The sequence below is a fragment of the Homo sapiens genome, chromosome 5 (genome assembly GCF_000001405.40).
Source record: "Homo sapiens chromosome 5, GRCh38.p14 Primary Assembly".
Classification (NCBI taxonomy): Eukaryota; Metazoa; Chordata; class Mammalia; order Primates; family Hominidae; genus Homo; species Homo sapiens.
The window spans coordinates 51,874,297-51,888,289 of record NC_000005.10 but is presented as its reverse complement, the minus strand read 5'-3'; the positions used below and the strand labels follow the sequence as shown (position 1 = coordinate 51,888,289).

Genomic DNA, 13,993 nt, shown 5'->3' with positions numbered 1-13,993 from the left:
AAAGTACATGGAAATATTAGAACACAGAATAAAGAAGGGTATGGATTCATGGCGGAGGAAGATTCCCATAAGGAAGTAACATTTATGTTGTAAGCTAAATTAGGAGTAAAATTTAATAAAACAAAAGGAGAAAAATATTATTTCCAGCAAAGGGAAAATATGGTGAATACTTGAAATAGAAGAGAATATTTAGCTGTAAGAAAACCAGTATCATTGGAGAACAGTGATCAACAAGAAAGCAAGCCGAATTGAAGCCAGAAAAAAAGACTGGGCATTCAGTTCGTTCAAGATCCTGCTCAATGCTTCTGAAACTTCAATGTCAATTCTGATTCAGTAGGCCTGTGCTAGGGCTCTACAACTGGCATTTCTAATTAGGCCTCAGATGATGTTGTTGCTGCCCCTTCTCGTATAGCACTTTAAGTAGCTCGGCTGTAAGCTGTCTTAAGCATTTGCAAATAAAAGTGGCTAAAGGATTGTACACAAAAATCATATTTGTGGTTTAGAAAGATCACCCTGGCTACAGTATAAAAATTTTTTCCTAAAACAGAGAAAAATCAAATTACTCAAATACAAAATAAATTATCCCTATTGTGGAACCCAAATGAAAAAATTAAATAAGCCTAAATAAAACTATTAACTTAGGAATCCTTAGGTCTTCCATATTGATTTCACAAAAGTGACCAAAGAAATAATGGATCAGTTCTAGGCAAAACAAAAAAACAAAACAAACAAATTAAAAAAGTATATATGTGTATATATATATGTAAAACAACAGTCATATGATTTTAATTAAATATATACATGCCCATATGGGATATTTTAAAATTGGGAGCCTCAACTTGATTTGTAACTATTGTTAGCGGAAAGAAGTGACTGAGAATACTGCCAAGATTGTTTATTTTTTTTAATTAAAGGATAAATAGTATATAAAGAGCTCTGACTAATTACTAAGAATTCAAAGATAAAAATCTTAAAGAGAAAAAAGAGGCAAAGGATTTGAATGGGTTAGAAAAACAGGAAAATATGAAAGACAAAAAGGCAGGTGGCTATTATTAATACATTCATGAACAGATATTTGATATAACTGATAATAAAATAGATAAACTTATTTTCATTTCATTTAATATATTTATAAATATTAAAATTATTGACATTAGCTAGAGTTGTGGATAGTTTGGGCAAATAGATATTCTATACCGTTTCTGGTATTCTAATACAGTATGTTTTGGGAGGATAACTCAACAATATCTTTCAAAATTGTAAATGTGCATGTTGTTTAATTTAGCAGTTCTACTTCTAGTAAATTGTTATAAATGGACACATTTACTGTAACATGCAAATAATTATCTTCAAGTTAGTTAATTAAAGGAGTTCAGAGCACACTGCCCCAAAATACACCACTTTGGCCTAAGAATAATTTTGAACTAAAGGCACTTTAAAAACAGCAGGTGAAGGAAGAGCTTCCTGACCTTTCTCCTGTTTCTTGAGAGAAGGAGATGAGACTTTCATGTGAAAGATGCCCTCTGTAATCCAAGTACTAACCAGGCCCAACTCTGCTTAGCTTCTGAGATCAGGCACAGCAACGCTGGTATGGTCACAGACAAGATGCCCTTTCTGTACCAGAAGGAAAGCAACATTCTTATCATCAAGGGCAGGAAGCTGAGACAGAGATAAGTTTGTATATACCTGGTTAAAAAAATTTGCATATATCTTTTCTTATAGCCTCCTGTGATGGTTAATATTGAGTGTCAACTTGATTGGATTGGAGGATGTGAAGCATTGGAAGATGTGAAGACTGGGTGTGTCTATGAGGGGGTTGCTAAAGGAGATTAAAATTTGAGTCAGTGGACTAGGAGAGGCAGACCCACCCTTAGTCTGGGTGGGCACCATCTAATCAGCTGCCAGCGTGGCTAGAATAAAGCAGGCAGAAGAACATGGAAGGACTAGACTTGCTGTGTATTCTGGTCTTTATCTTTCTCCCATGCTGGGTGCTTCCTGCCCTTGAACATCAGACTCCAAATTCTTCAGCTTTTGGACTCTTGGACTTACACCAGCTGTTTGCCAAGGCCTCTCAGGCCTTTGGCCACAGACTGAAGGCTGCACTGTCGGCTTCCCTACTTTTGAGGTTTTGGAACTAGGACTGATCCACCACCAGCTTCCTTACTCCTCAACTTGCAGACAGCCTATCGTGGGACTTTAACTTGTGATCATGCGAGTCAATTCTCCTTAATAAACTCCCTCTCACAGATACATATATCCTATTTGTTCTGTCCTCCTAGAGAACCCTGGCTAATATACTTCCCCACATAATTTTGTTGCTTTTTCATAACTTACTATTGTTTGTCCCCTTCAGTGTATAAGTGTTCAACTCTGTCTCTATGGATCGTCATTTCCTTATGAAGGCTCCCATGCCACATAAAAGTTGTATCAAATAAATATATGTTTTTCTTCTGCCAATCCATCTTATATCAATTTAATTCCCAGTCCTAGACAGAAAATGAATGCCAAAAAAGTGGAGGTAAAATTTTGCCTTACCTACATCATTATTACTTTCTTTTTTTTTTTTTTTTTTTTTTTTTGAGACAAAGTCTTGCTCTGTCACCCAGGCTGGAGTGTAGTAGCGCTATCTCGGCTCACTGAAACCTCCGTCTCCCGGGTTCAAGTGATTCTCCTGCCTCAGCCTCCCAAGTAGCTGGGACTACAGGCACGTGCCACTAGACCTGGCTAATTTTTTGTATTTTTAGTAGAGACAGGGTTTCACCGTGTTAGCCAGGATGGTCTCAATCTCTTGACCTCGTGATCTGCCCGCCTCAGCATCCCACCGTGCTGGGATTACAGGCGTGAGCCACCATGCCTGACCTACTTTCTTTATAATAACAAAAAATGAACCAAATACAAAAGCCCATCAGTAGAAGGATGGATAAATAAATATGGTATAACTATTCAGTACTATGCAGCATAAAAATAACAAAAACTAAGAGTGAAATTGGACTGTTCCTAACACAAAGAAATTATTAGTGCTTGAGATGATGGATATCCCAATTACTCTGATTGGGATAAGGGTACATGTGACATTTTGATACAAGAATACAATGTGTAATTGTGTACACTGTATGCTTGTGTCCAAATATCACGTGTTGCATAAATATGTACAACTATTATATATATAATAAATACATTAAAAAGGTAAATCTGAAAGCAAACTTCTTTTAGAAAGCTATATATACTAATATGAAATAATAATAATAGCTAATATTACTAAGCAGACATATGCTAGAAACTTTACATTACCTTAGGAAATTTCTCCTTATCATACCATTATAACGTGTGTAAACCGAAACACAAAGAGGTTGAGTAACTTACCTGAAATCACAAGGAGAACCCCAGATTTCAACCCAGCCCCTTATTTATATTAAATGACCAAAATTTTGTAATACTGTAAAGTTCTATAATAGTTCTGTATGTATACACACACATGCGCACACCCCCATATGTGCATATACATACATACAGAAACATATGTAATCATAAATTTGCATGAAATACTTAAGAATATATATTTTTATGTGCACCTAAAACACTGAGAGATAAATATTACATACTATCTTATAATACTTATCCGAGGAAAGTAGGGTTGGAAGTTATAGGACCCTCACTTGTTATTTTCTGCACCTCTATAATGTCTTTATAAACTTTTATTACAACTGTGCTCTACTTTTAGGTTGGAAATGCAAAAATAGACAAAAAGTAAAAGAACTTTTGGTATCTAATGAAGTTATTTATCAAATGGAGTTTGGAAAACCTTGATAGGATGTAACTGTTTTTCTTTAAAACAAATAAAATTTTAAAAATCTTCTCTGTAGGTCTCTCAAGAGAATCAGAAAATTATTGATCCGTTTTGGTTGTCACAAGTATATGCCTTCACTGCTGCTCCTAAACTGCGTTTGCAGTGGTTTACACAGATTAAGATGGTGAGATGAACTGTGAAGGCAATCCTGGGTTCATTCATTCTATCACTGTGGATACAGCCACACTACCTCATATCACAGCAACAGGAAAAAATATTCACGGCCTACCAGCCAATAAATTAAATTGTTATAATAAATTAAATTACAACTAAGCTTCACATTGATGGATAATACAAAATTAAAATTATGTTCACTCAATTCAATGTTACCTAGAAAATTAACTACTGAAAAAGATGAGATTATAAACTTGGAAAACATTCACTACATTTTGACTTAAAGTCTTTAACTCCTTTTTTTGTAAAGCCATCTATCTATATGAATGCTTTGCATGAAAAAGGAAACTAATATTTGTGGAACAAACATGTATCATATGTTTTATATCTGTGAAATAATTTGATCCTTTACAACAATGCTATATGGTAGAAATTATTTTCTATACCTTCTCTACCCTAGCTCACCGACTCGTGGGGAATGTTAAGAAAGATTATGTAACTTCTCCAAGGCCACAGTGTCATGAAAGGTAACAGTGGTGTTTAAATAAAGGTGTGTTTGGCTGCCCACTAAACTCTTATCTTATATGTTTCTCTATGGATACATTATTTTTAAAATTTTTAATCCAATTCTATTTAACTCATGCTTTGTGTAAAATATGACTTTTGGTTCAAAAAGCTACTGAAGAATTCACTCTTCATAATTTAGTGGAGTAATTCGTGTGAAAGTTTTTATTTAAGAATACATAAGAGCGAAATTTACTTTTTTGAATCAAACTTGCTATACATATTTTAGTGTCTGGTTTTAATGTTACTATGAAAATCAATATTTCTCTTGTCATAATTTTCCATGAAAATCACATGAAATAATTATATATCTTCAGCGCTAATGGGTTATCTTATTTTGCTATAGTTCTAAAATCTGAAATCTCCTACAATGAGTAGTATTTATTTCTACTTTAAAATGTGTCTTGTAAAATTAAACAGTATAGATGTTTTGATTTTGCATTTTAGTTGTAAATACAAATTTTCCTTTTTATAAAAATCTATAAACCTATTTGTGTTTCACAGTATGATACTAGCATTTAAGTTTAAATTTGAGTTTATTATTGATAACTATGTTTTTAAATTAAAAGCTGCTTTTAAAACTGTATCTTCAATTTTAGTATACAGATATTTTAACTGATAAATCAATTCTTGCAATTTCAATGGTTTTTTAAACCATCCAATAAATTACTCACTTTTAATACTTTACTTCCTAGATTAAGATATAAACAAATCCTGGATCATGAAAAGATTTTTATTTGATCAGATATGCTGTTTGAGTTTAGTATAGCCTTTTATCATTAGTGAAGACTACATCTGTTTGTGCAAAACAGCATCTCTGAGGAGTGAAGTTCTTTGTTCTAGTGAAGAATAGTCCTGATTACTGGCAATGGCAGTACCTTCCTGCCCTATTATTGACCTCGACTTTGACCTGGCTGGACCACCCTCACAGGAATGGAGGGTAATAAAGTCCTTGGCTGACTCAACCCTGAGTTTAAGCTAAGCAGAGATAATCAATCACTGAAAATTAAGGGTTGTGGTTTTGTGATGTGGACATTTACTGGGGACTGAGCTGAGATTGCCAAACACCATTCATTTAAGTTTTCAGGACTGTCTCAGAGTAGGATCAAGGGTATTTTAACTAGTACTTCAGGAACTGTTTACCGGATTCGGAGTACAGAGATATGATCTTACGGGCAGAGGGAAAAAAAGAAAATGAGCATTCCAAATAACAATGATAGACTGATTGTAAACAAAGGGTCAAGCAGAATTGACTAAAATAGCCTTTGGGAAATATTACTTTTCTTATTTATCTCAAACTTTGATTGAATGAAACTCATTAACGTCTTACATTTCTCAATTGATAAGCTGTGTGTCTTTGCTAGCCCAAATATTTTGCTTCCTAAAATCAATTCTAGAATATTAGAAAAAAGATCGTGCTAGGCTTAGATCTTCTTTTCAAGATGTTATTCCTAATGTCTTGCATCTTCTTCCTCCACTCATCTTTTCCAAAGTATGTTAGTGCTTCTGAAGATCAAGATCCTCTTGCTTTGTTTTAAATGACTGGGGCTCCTAAATTCCAATCCATCTCTGACCTTTCCCTTTTTAACATTACCCCTGAAACTCACATACCTTTGTTAACATAAAAAAGGAACTCCTTTACCCAGGCAAAGCAGAGCTGCTTGTAGCATTTGAATACACTTAGCAGGAGGCAGGGCTGTTTCTTGTGTATAAAGGCTTGAAATATCCCATGAGATGAGTTGTCACTGATGAATGTACAGACTACATTGGAGAATAAAACCAAAACACTAGCCTGTTTCTCTCAGACAGAAGTTCCACATGCTTCACTAGCAAATCATTGAGCTGGAGACCCTGTGTTAAGATATTTTTAGAGCCGGTTGTGTATACATGGTTACTGAGATTGCATGTCCTTTTGTCTTGTCAAAAGTAGATAAGTGCCTTTAGAGATTTATCTTGGATGTTTTGCAACATCCCACAAAACCTATAGTAATGCTATATATATACTCTCTAGGTACTTGGTATATATGAGTTAATGAGTTAATAAGATTTATTCTTTTAACTGATACTTTCAATAAACAGCTTTATTCTTAAAGTCAGAGATTCTACCTGCATGATTTAGAGGCACTTGAAAAGCTCCTTGTCATGTTGGCATTTTAAATCAAATACTACACCATCTAGAAGAGAACAAATATCTGAGTGCTATAATAGAATATCAGTAGGTTTCCAAATGACATCCTCAAAAGTTGTATTACTAGACTATAAGAGTTCTGATTTAGGAAAATCAGGAATTCAAGCTAGCAGGAGTAATTGGTTGTTGGTTACAATTGAATCAGAATTTTTAAGTGAGACTTGGTAGATTTCTCTGGGAAGAATATGTTATTTCTCTGAGAAGACTTTCAGCATCTCACTTATCCAAAGTTGGTGGATTTCATGGAATGCTTCTTCTAGACACTGAGCAAAATTTGAGCCACCTGCTCATAATGTCTCTGAAGTAAATATGGCTATAACCAACATTTCTATAATCCTGAAACTTGCTTTTACATGTCACCTCAAAGTATCCAACTGGGGTATGCCATTCAGTTATGCTCCTCGGGAAGTATAACCTCCTACCACAAATAATCCTCACCCCTACATTTATAATTCAATTTCCAAGCTGTCACTCACACACCAAGGGAGGTTAGCTTCTAGGCAAACAAAATAAATCCTTTAAAAAAAGATTTCTTTCACATAGACATTGATGGTTGGTTTATCATTCCTATAGCTATTGTAATTTTAAATGAGTAGATCATCAATTTCATTACTTTAAAGGACTTGGGCTCTTTTATTTTGCTTCGTTTTAGCAAAAAGACATTTCTCAGATCATTTTCTATTTTAGACCCTGTCTTTCTCTCTCTACCCTAATACAGAACAAACAGTTATAAAAAGGTCTGTGGAAAGAGTCAACAAATTGTTTTGATAAATAGATAGTTTCAGGTCACTTTATTTGTGTTTGTCACATTAAAAGAAAAAATATTCTGAAAGCGTGTGTTGATTTATACTTTCCACTGAACAAAAATCCCTTCTATATTGTATATTTTATCATCTATTTAGCTTTGCAGTTTTTCTTTAAATAAAATTTGTGTTTTAGAATATATTCCACAAGTGTAAGTTAATAAAGTAGAAGAGCTGAATGAAATCAGAAGATTCTAGCTAGCAGTGTAGTTTTTAACATGTTATGAAACACTCTGCACCTCAGTCACTTTATTTTAAAACATATTTTAAGGGGTAAAACTAAGAAATCTCGACAGTCCTTTCAAGGCTTCTTACTTTCTTGGTCTAGATGGAATTCATAAAATGAGACCAAGGTGATGAAACACAAAGTAGCCTTTAGTAATTTCAATTCTGCTTTTGGGTGCTTTATCATGTTCTGATATTAATTTATCTTTGATTAATATGAGACAGGTTTTTATAACTTTGAAAATATGTAATCCCTTTTTGTAAATGCCAATATTTTTAGTTATGAAATCAGCACACCCGCATATTAAATATGATGATTTTTCTTTCACATAGCTACTCCCATTGAGGGCCTTTTTTTTTGTTTTAGCTTTTTCTCCTTTAATATTTCATATTTAAATAGTATTTCAAGAAAATAATCAGTTAAATCAGCTTCAATTTAACAGTAGTGTAATATGAACCTTCTCTGACCTATTTAATTGGAAATAGCTTTTAATGAAGGCACTGAGCACTTTTACACACACACACACACACACACACACACGCATCTGTAGATTGTATGTATTTATATACCTATAAACCCATGATCTTAAAGTTAGCCAAATGCAGTTAAGAAATAATTCTGCTTTCTGAAGAGTAGCACAGGCCGGGCGCGGTGGCTCACGCCGGTAATCCCAGCACTTTGGGAGTCCGAGGCAGGCGGATCACAAGGTCAGGAGATCGAGACCATCCTGGCTAACACGGTGAAACCCCGTCTCTAATAAAAAATCCAAAAAAATTAGCTGGGCATCGTGGCGGGCACCTGTAGTCCCAGCTACTCAGAAGGCTGAGTCAGGAGAATGGCGTGAACCCGGAGGCAGAGCTTGCAGTGAGCTGAGATCATGCCACTGCACTCCAGGCTGGGCGACAGAGTGAGACTCCATCTCAAAAAAAAAAAAAAGAAAAAAAGAGTAGCACGGAAATAATGTTTAATTTAATCTAGACTGGAATAGCAGATTTAGAGGTTATTAAAACATGCTTCCAACTTATTAGGTTTAAGTTATGAAAAGTAGTTTGGAATGACATTTGCTATATTTAAAATTTTTACTCAGGTTTCCACAAACCATTTAAGTTTTTATTTTTTGATTTAAAAATTTATTCTTTTTTTTTTTTTTTTTTTTTTTTTGAGATGGAGTTTTGCTCTTGTTGCCCAGGCTGGAGTACAATGACGTGATCTCGGCTCACCGCAACCTCAGCCTCCCAGGTTCAAGCAATTCTCCTGCCTCAGCCTCCCGAGTAGCTGGGATTACAGGCATGCACCACCACGCCCAGCTAATTTTGTATTTTTAATAGAGACGGGGTTTCTACATGTTGGTCAGGCTGGTCTTGAACTCTCGACCTCAGGTTATCCACCCACCTCAGCCTCCCAAAGTGCTGGGAATACAGGCGTGAGCCACCGCGCCTGGCCAAAAATTTATTTTTTTAATAAAACCCTTCAGAAATAGAAATTAAAACAGATAAAATATATCTATAAAAATTGACAAATATATTAATGCATTTGCACATTCACTCATTATTGAATACCTACCAAGTGCCAAGCACTGGGAAAGGTACTAAGAATGTAGCTGCTGACTAAACATATGAAGCCCCTATTTTTATAAATTTACTTTTAAGTGAGGGGAGAAAGACCGTAAATATTGAAAACATTTTATACAGACACATCCATAATTTTATGTATATATAAAATAAATTAAGTGTGAGAAAGAGTGTAGAGTGTACTCCACATTATTATTTTACATTGATAGGTCAGGATGTCATTTGAATCAATATATATTTATATGGGTGTTAAGTATATATTTGTACATAGAGCAGATATTTATATTAAAATAGAACAGGGATTCCCATCCTTGGCACTATTATTAATTTGGACTGGATAATTCTTTCTTGCAGGGGACTCTGTTCCATACTATACAACATTTAACAGCTTTCCTGGCCTCCACCCATTAGACACCAGTATAACTTCCTCAGTTGCAACAACTAAAAATATCTCCAACCATTGTCAAATGTCTCCTGGGGGAAAAATCACCCCTTTTGAGAATTGCTCAGGTAGAGTATTTGCATATGTTAAAATTTAATAAATAATTGTTTAGTCTTTTACATTATGTAAACATCATGCTATCTCTTGGAAGACATTATGATGAATAAAACAAGGTATTTGATGTAATTTATTATGTGAAACTACTTGATTGTCTTTCTTTTACTTCTTCACTCTCTATTTCTCTTTATATATGTCTCTTTCTTAAAATCTATATCTATACATTTAAATTTGTATGCCTATAAGTATCATGAGTATCTATAGACATATACAATAAGTTCTCACGTAACATCACTGATAGATTCTTGAATACTGTAATTTATAATGAAGCCAGTTTTTTTTTTCTTGTCAATGTTATGACAAAACAGTGTTGAAGAAAATGATTTCATTCGAGGACCAGCTGTATGTTATTTTTCTTAAAGACAGTTTCTAAGAAACTACTGATGACATTAAGTGAGGAAATAGTGTGTATGAAAATGAAACAAGGTTATATTAGAACTGCAACTATAATAAACCCCCTCCTCCAGCATCTCAGGCACTCAGTTGACACCACAGAAAGAAAGACTCCTTTAATGGTAAAATTTGTGTCCTAAATTAAGGGACAAGACCTAGATAAAGGTGACGAAAGGGGAAATGCATAAAATTAGTCTAACAAAGAATAAACCAAGCCTTAACAAAACTCCATACATTTTAAAGTAACATAATCAAAGCTTCTATGTTATTTAATCCACATTTTCACACATACCACAAAAGATTACTGGACATTAGAAAATATGAAAACTGACTACATCAGTTTTCATCAGAGGGATGTCTCAAAAGCAAGTAGAAGAAAAGGACATATTATGTGCAGAAGATCAACACCACAAATAAGTGTTGACTTCTAATCTGAAAAAATGACAGCCTAATATCAGTAGCTGTAATGATTAATCAGGTTTATTTAATTCAACACCAGTGACTAAAACTAACAACCAGAGGAATTACTACTTACGAGCAAAAGGAAGTTGAAAGAATGAGTATGTCTATTGCTGAAGTAGTGATGAAGATGTTCTTGCAAGAATGAATGGAGATAATTCTGCTTTCGATGTGAGATAGTGAGTGGTGCTAGACTCACTCTCAGAGTATATACGACTATAAAATATGTGAAGACAATAAATATATGGTTACTATTTTCAGACATTGGAAAACAATCATCTTAGAACTTGGGTGCCTGACAGAAGGGAAACACAAGGCATAAGCTACATCTTAGCTCCAATTTCCTGTCTAAAGATTCTTTCTGAAATGCAGTACAGGTCAATGGAACCCAGCAGAATAGACAGACTCACTGTGCTGAAGAGGCAAATATTAAGCTTGATGCTTCTGAAGCAGATGGAATTTGAAAAACAGAGGAAAAGTTTACACAGAGAGTGGATTCAAATATTGGGGGTGGAGTGTAGTGCTCTGGTCTTGGCTTAGGGCTGAGCTGCACATGTGCGAAGGTGTACTGAGAAATAGACTAGAGATAGTATAGGGCTAGGAGACATTAGCATATGCAGACCCCACCTCCTCCTCCAGCACCTCAGGCACTCAGTTGACCCCACAGAAGGACTGCTTTAATGGTAAAACTCATGTCCTAAATTAAGGAACAAGACCTCGATAAAGGTGACGAAAGGGGAAATGCATAATATTAGTCTAACAAAAAATAAACAAAGCCTTAACAAAACTCCATACATTTTAAAGTAACATAATCAAAGCTTCTATGTTATTTAATCCACATTTTCACACATACAACAAAAGATTACTAGACATTGGAAAAAATGAAAACTGACTACATCAAGAAACAAATAGTAGTTCACTGAAACAAGACTTCAATGTGACCCACGTAAATGTATTTAAGGTGTTCAAGAAAAATATATTGAGTGGCTTGTTAAGAAATCTCTACAGTGAAATGGCAAAAATAAATAATATTCTAAAACTAAAAAATGTAATATCTTAAATAAAAAATTCACTGGGTTGGCTTAATAGCAAATTAAACAGCACAAAAAAAGACTCAGTGAACTTGAAGATAAATTTAATAAAAGGGCAGTAAAATTGAAAAAAAATCAACAGAGGCTTATAGCCAATGTACAATACTAATAGTTACAACATACTTAATTGGGATATAAGCTGGGTATAATTGGAGTCTAAGAAGAAAAAAGAGAATGGTACAGAAAACAATATTTGTATAAATAATTGTTAAGAAAGACTCCAACTTACGTGTCCAAGAAACTGAGTAAACTTAAAGTAATATAAATTTTTTAAAAAACAATCCAGGCATATCATAATCAAATGGATGAAAACTAGAAAAAAAGAGAGATGTCTCAAAAGCAACTAGAAGAAAAGGACATTTTATGTGCAGAAGATCAACAACACAAATGAGTGTTTACTTCTCATCTGAAAAAATGACAGCCTAAAAATAATGCTACAAGTTCTTTGAAGTGCTTTATAGAAAAAAAAAACACACAAATTAATAAACCTTCAGTCCACAATTAGAAATCAGACAATGCTAAATAATACATAGGTCAAAGAGGAAAACTCAAGAGAAATTTTTAAAAATTTTGTATTAATTAAAAATGAAATTAAATTGAACAACTTATTAAAATTTGTGGGATGCAGTGAAAGCAGTGCTAGAGGGAAATTTATAGCATTAGATGCATTATATTAGAAAAGAAGGGAGATCTAAATTCAATCATCTAAGCTTCTTCTTAGGAAACTATAAAAAGAAGAGCAAATTCAAAGTAGAAGGAAAGAAATAATAAAAATTAGAATAGAAATAAATGAAATTGAAAACAGAAAAATCAATAAAGAAAATCAATAAAACCAAAAGCTAGTTATTTGAAAAGATAACTAAAATAGGTCAGCCTCTAGCCAGGCTAAGAAAAAAGAAGAAAGGACAAACATTATTAATATTAGAAATGAAAGAGGGGACATCACTACATATCCCATAGACATTAAAAGGATAATGAGATGATATTATAAATAATTTTATATCCACAAATGTGATTACTTAGATGAAATAAACTAATCCCTTGAAAGACACAATCTACCAAAACTCACACAAGAATAAATAGATAATCTGAACAGACCTATAGCTATTAAAGAAACTTAATCAGTATTTAGTAATCTTCCAAACCAGAAAGTACTAGGCCCAGAGAGGTTTCCTGGTGAATTCTACCAAGCATATAAGTATGAAATTATTCATAGTTTCTACAATTTTCTTTTAGAAGATAGAAATAGAGGAAATACTTCTTATTTTGAGGCCAGCATTAACCTACTACCAAAACCAAAGGCATTACAAGGAAATAAAATTATAGAACAATATCACCCATAAAATGATGCAAAAATCCTCAACAAAATATCAGTAAATCAAATCCAATAGTATAAAAAAGAATTATATACCACAGCTAAGTGGGATTTATTCGAGATATGCAAGCATGGTTCATTGATTGTCAGTAGACAGAAAAAAGCATTTGACAAAAATCTAACACCCATTCATGATTTTTAAAAAATTTTTCAGTAAACTAGAAATAGAAGGAGAACTTCTGCTGGGCACGGTGGCTCATGCCTGTAATCCCAGCACTTTGGGAGGCCAAGGCAGGCAGATCATGAGGTCAGGAGTTCGAGACCAGCCTGACCAACGTGGTGAAACCCTGTCTCTACTAAAAAAATAAATAAATAAACACACACAAAAAATTAGCTGGGCATGGTGGCACGCGCATGTAATCCCAGCTACTTTGGGCAGGAGAATCACTTGGACCTGGGAGGCAGAGGTTGCATGAGCCGAGATTGCGCCATTGCACTGCAGCCTGGCAATAGAGTGAGACTCTGTCTCAAAAAAAAAAAAAAAAAAAAAAAAAAAAAGGTAACTTCTCCATCTTGGTAAAGAATACTTAGGGAAAAACCTACAGCTAACATCATACATAACTGTGAGAAACTAAAAATTTTCCCACTAAGATCAAATACAAGGCAAGGATGTTCCCTCTTACCACAACATCATCCTGGAGGTCCTAGCATTAAGCAATCAGACAAGCAAAGAAAATAAAAAGTATATAGACTGGAAAGAAAGAAAGAAAACTATCTTTGTTCTAGGATGACATGATTATTATTATAAAATACCTGAATAATTGAGAAAAAAAAACTCTCCAAACTGGAACTAATAAGCAATT

At 34.0% G+C, this 13,993-nt stretch overlaps 1 pseudogene, besides 3 other annotated features; it reads right to left on the bottom strand.

Moving 5' to 3' along the window:
• Positions 1,521-1,602, bottom strand: RNA5SP182 (RNA, 5S ribosomal pseudogene 182; annotated as a pseudogene).
• Positions 5,092-5,972: an enhancer, noted in NCBI's record as "LF-SINE". NCBI's record gives its function as "enhancer in the head and spinal cord region, the dorsal apical ectodermal ridge, and genital eminence" and the evidence as "EXISTENCE:transgenic organism evidence [ECO:0001131][PMID:16625209]".
• Positions 5,092-6,479: a biological region, named in NCBI's record as "ISL1 proximal LF-SINE".
• Positions 5,784-6,479: an enhancer, noted in NCBI's record as "OCT4-NANOG-H3K27ac hESC enhancer chr5:51177645-51178340 (GRCh37/hg19 assembly coordinates)". NCBI's record gives its function as "activates a minimal SCP1, AML or CMV promoter by ChIP-STARR-seq in naive and primed H9 embryonic stem cells {active_cell/tissue: H9 hESC(naive and primed)}" and the evidence as "EXISTENCE:reporter gene assay evidence [ECO:0000049][PMID:30033119]".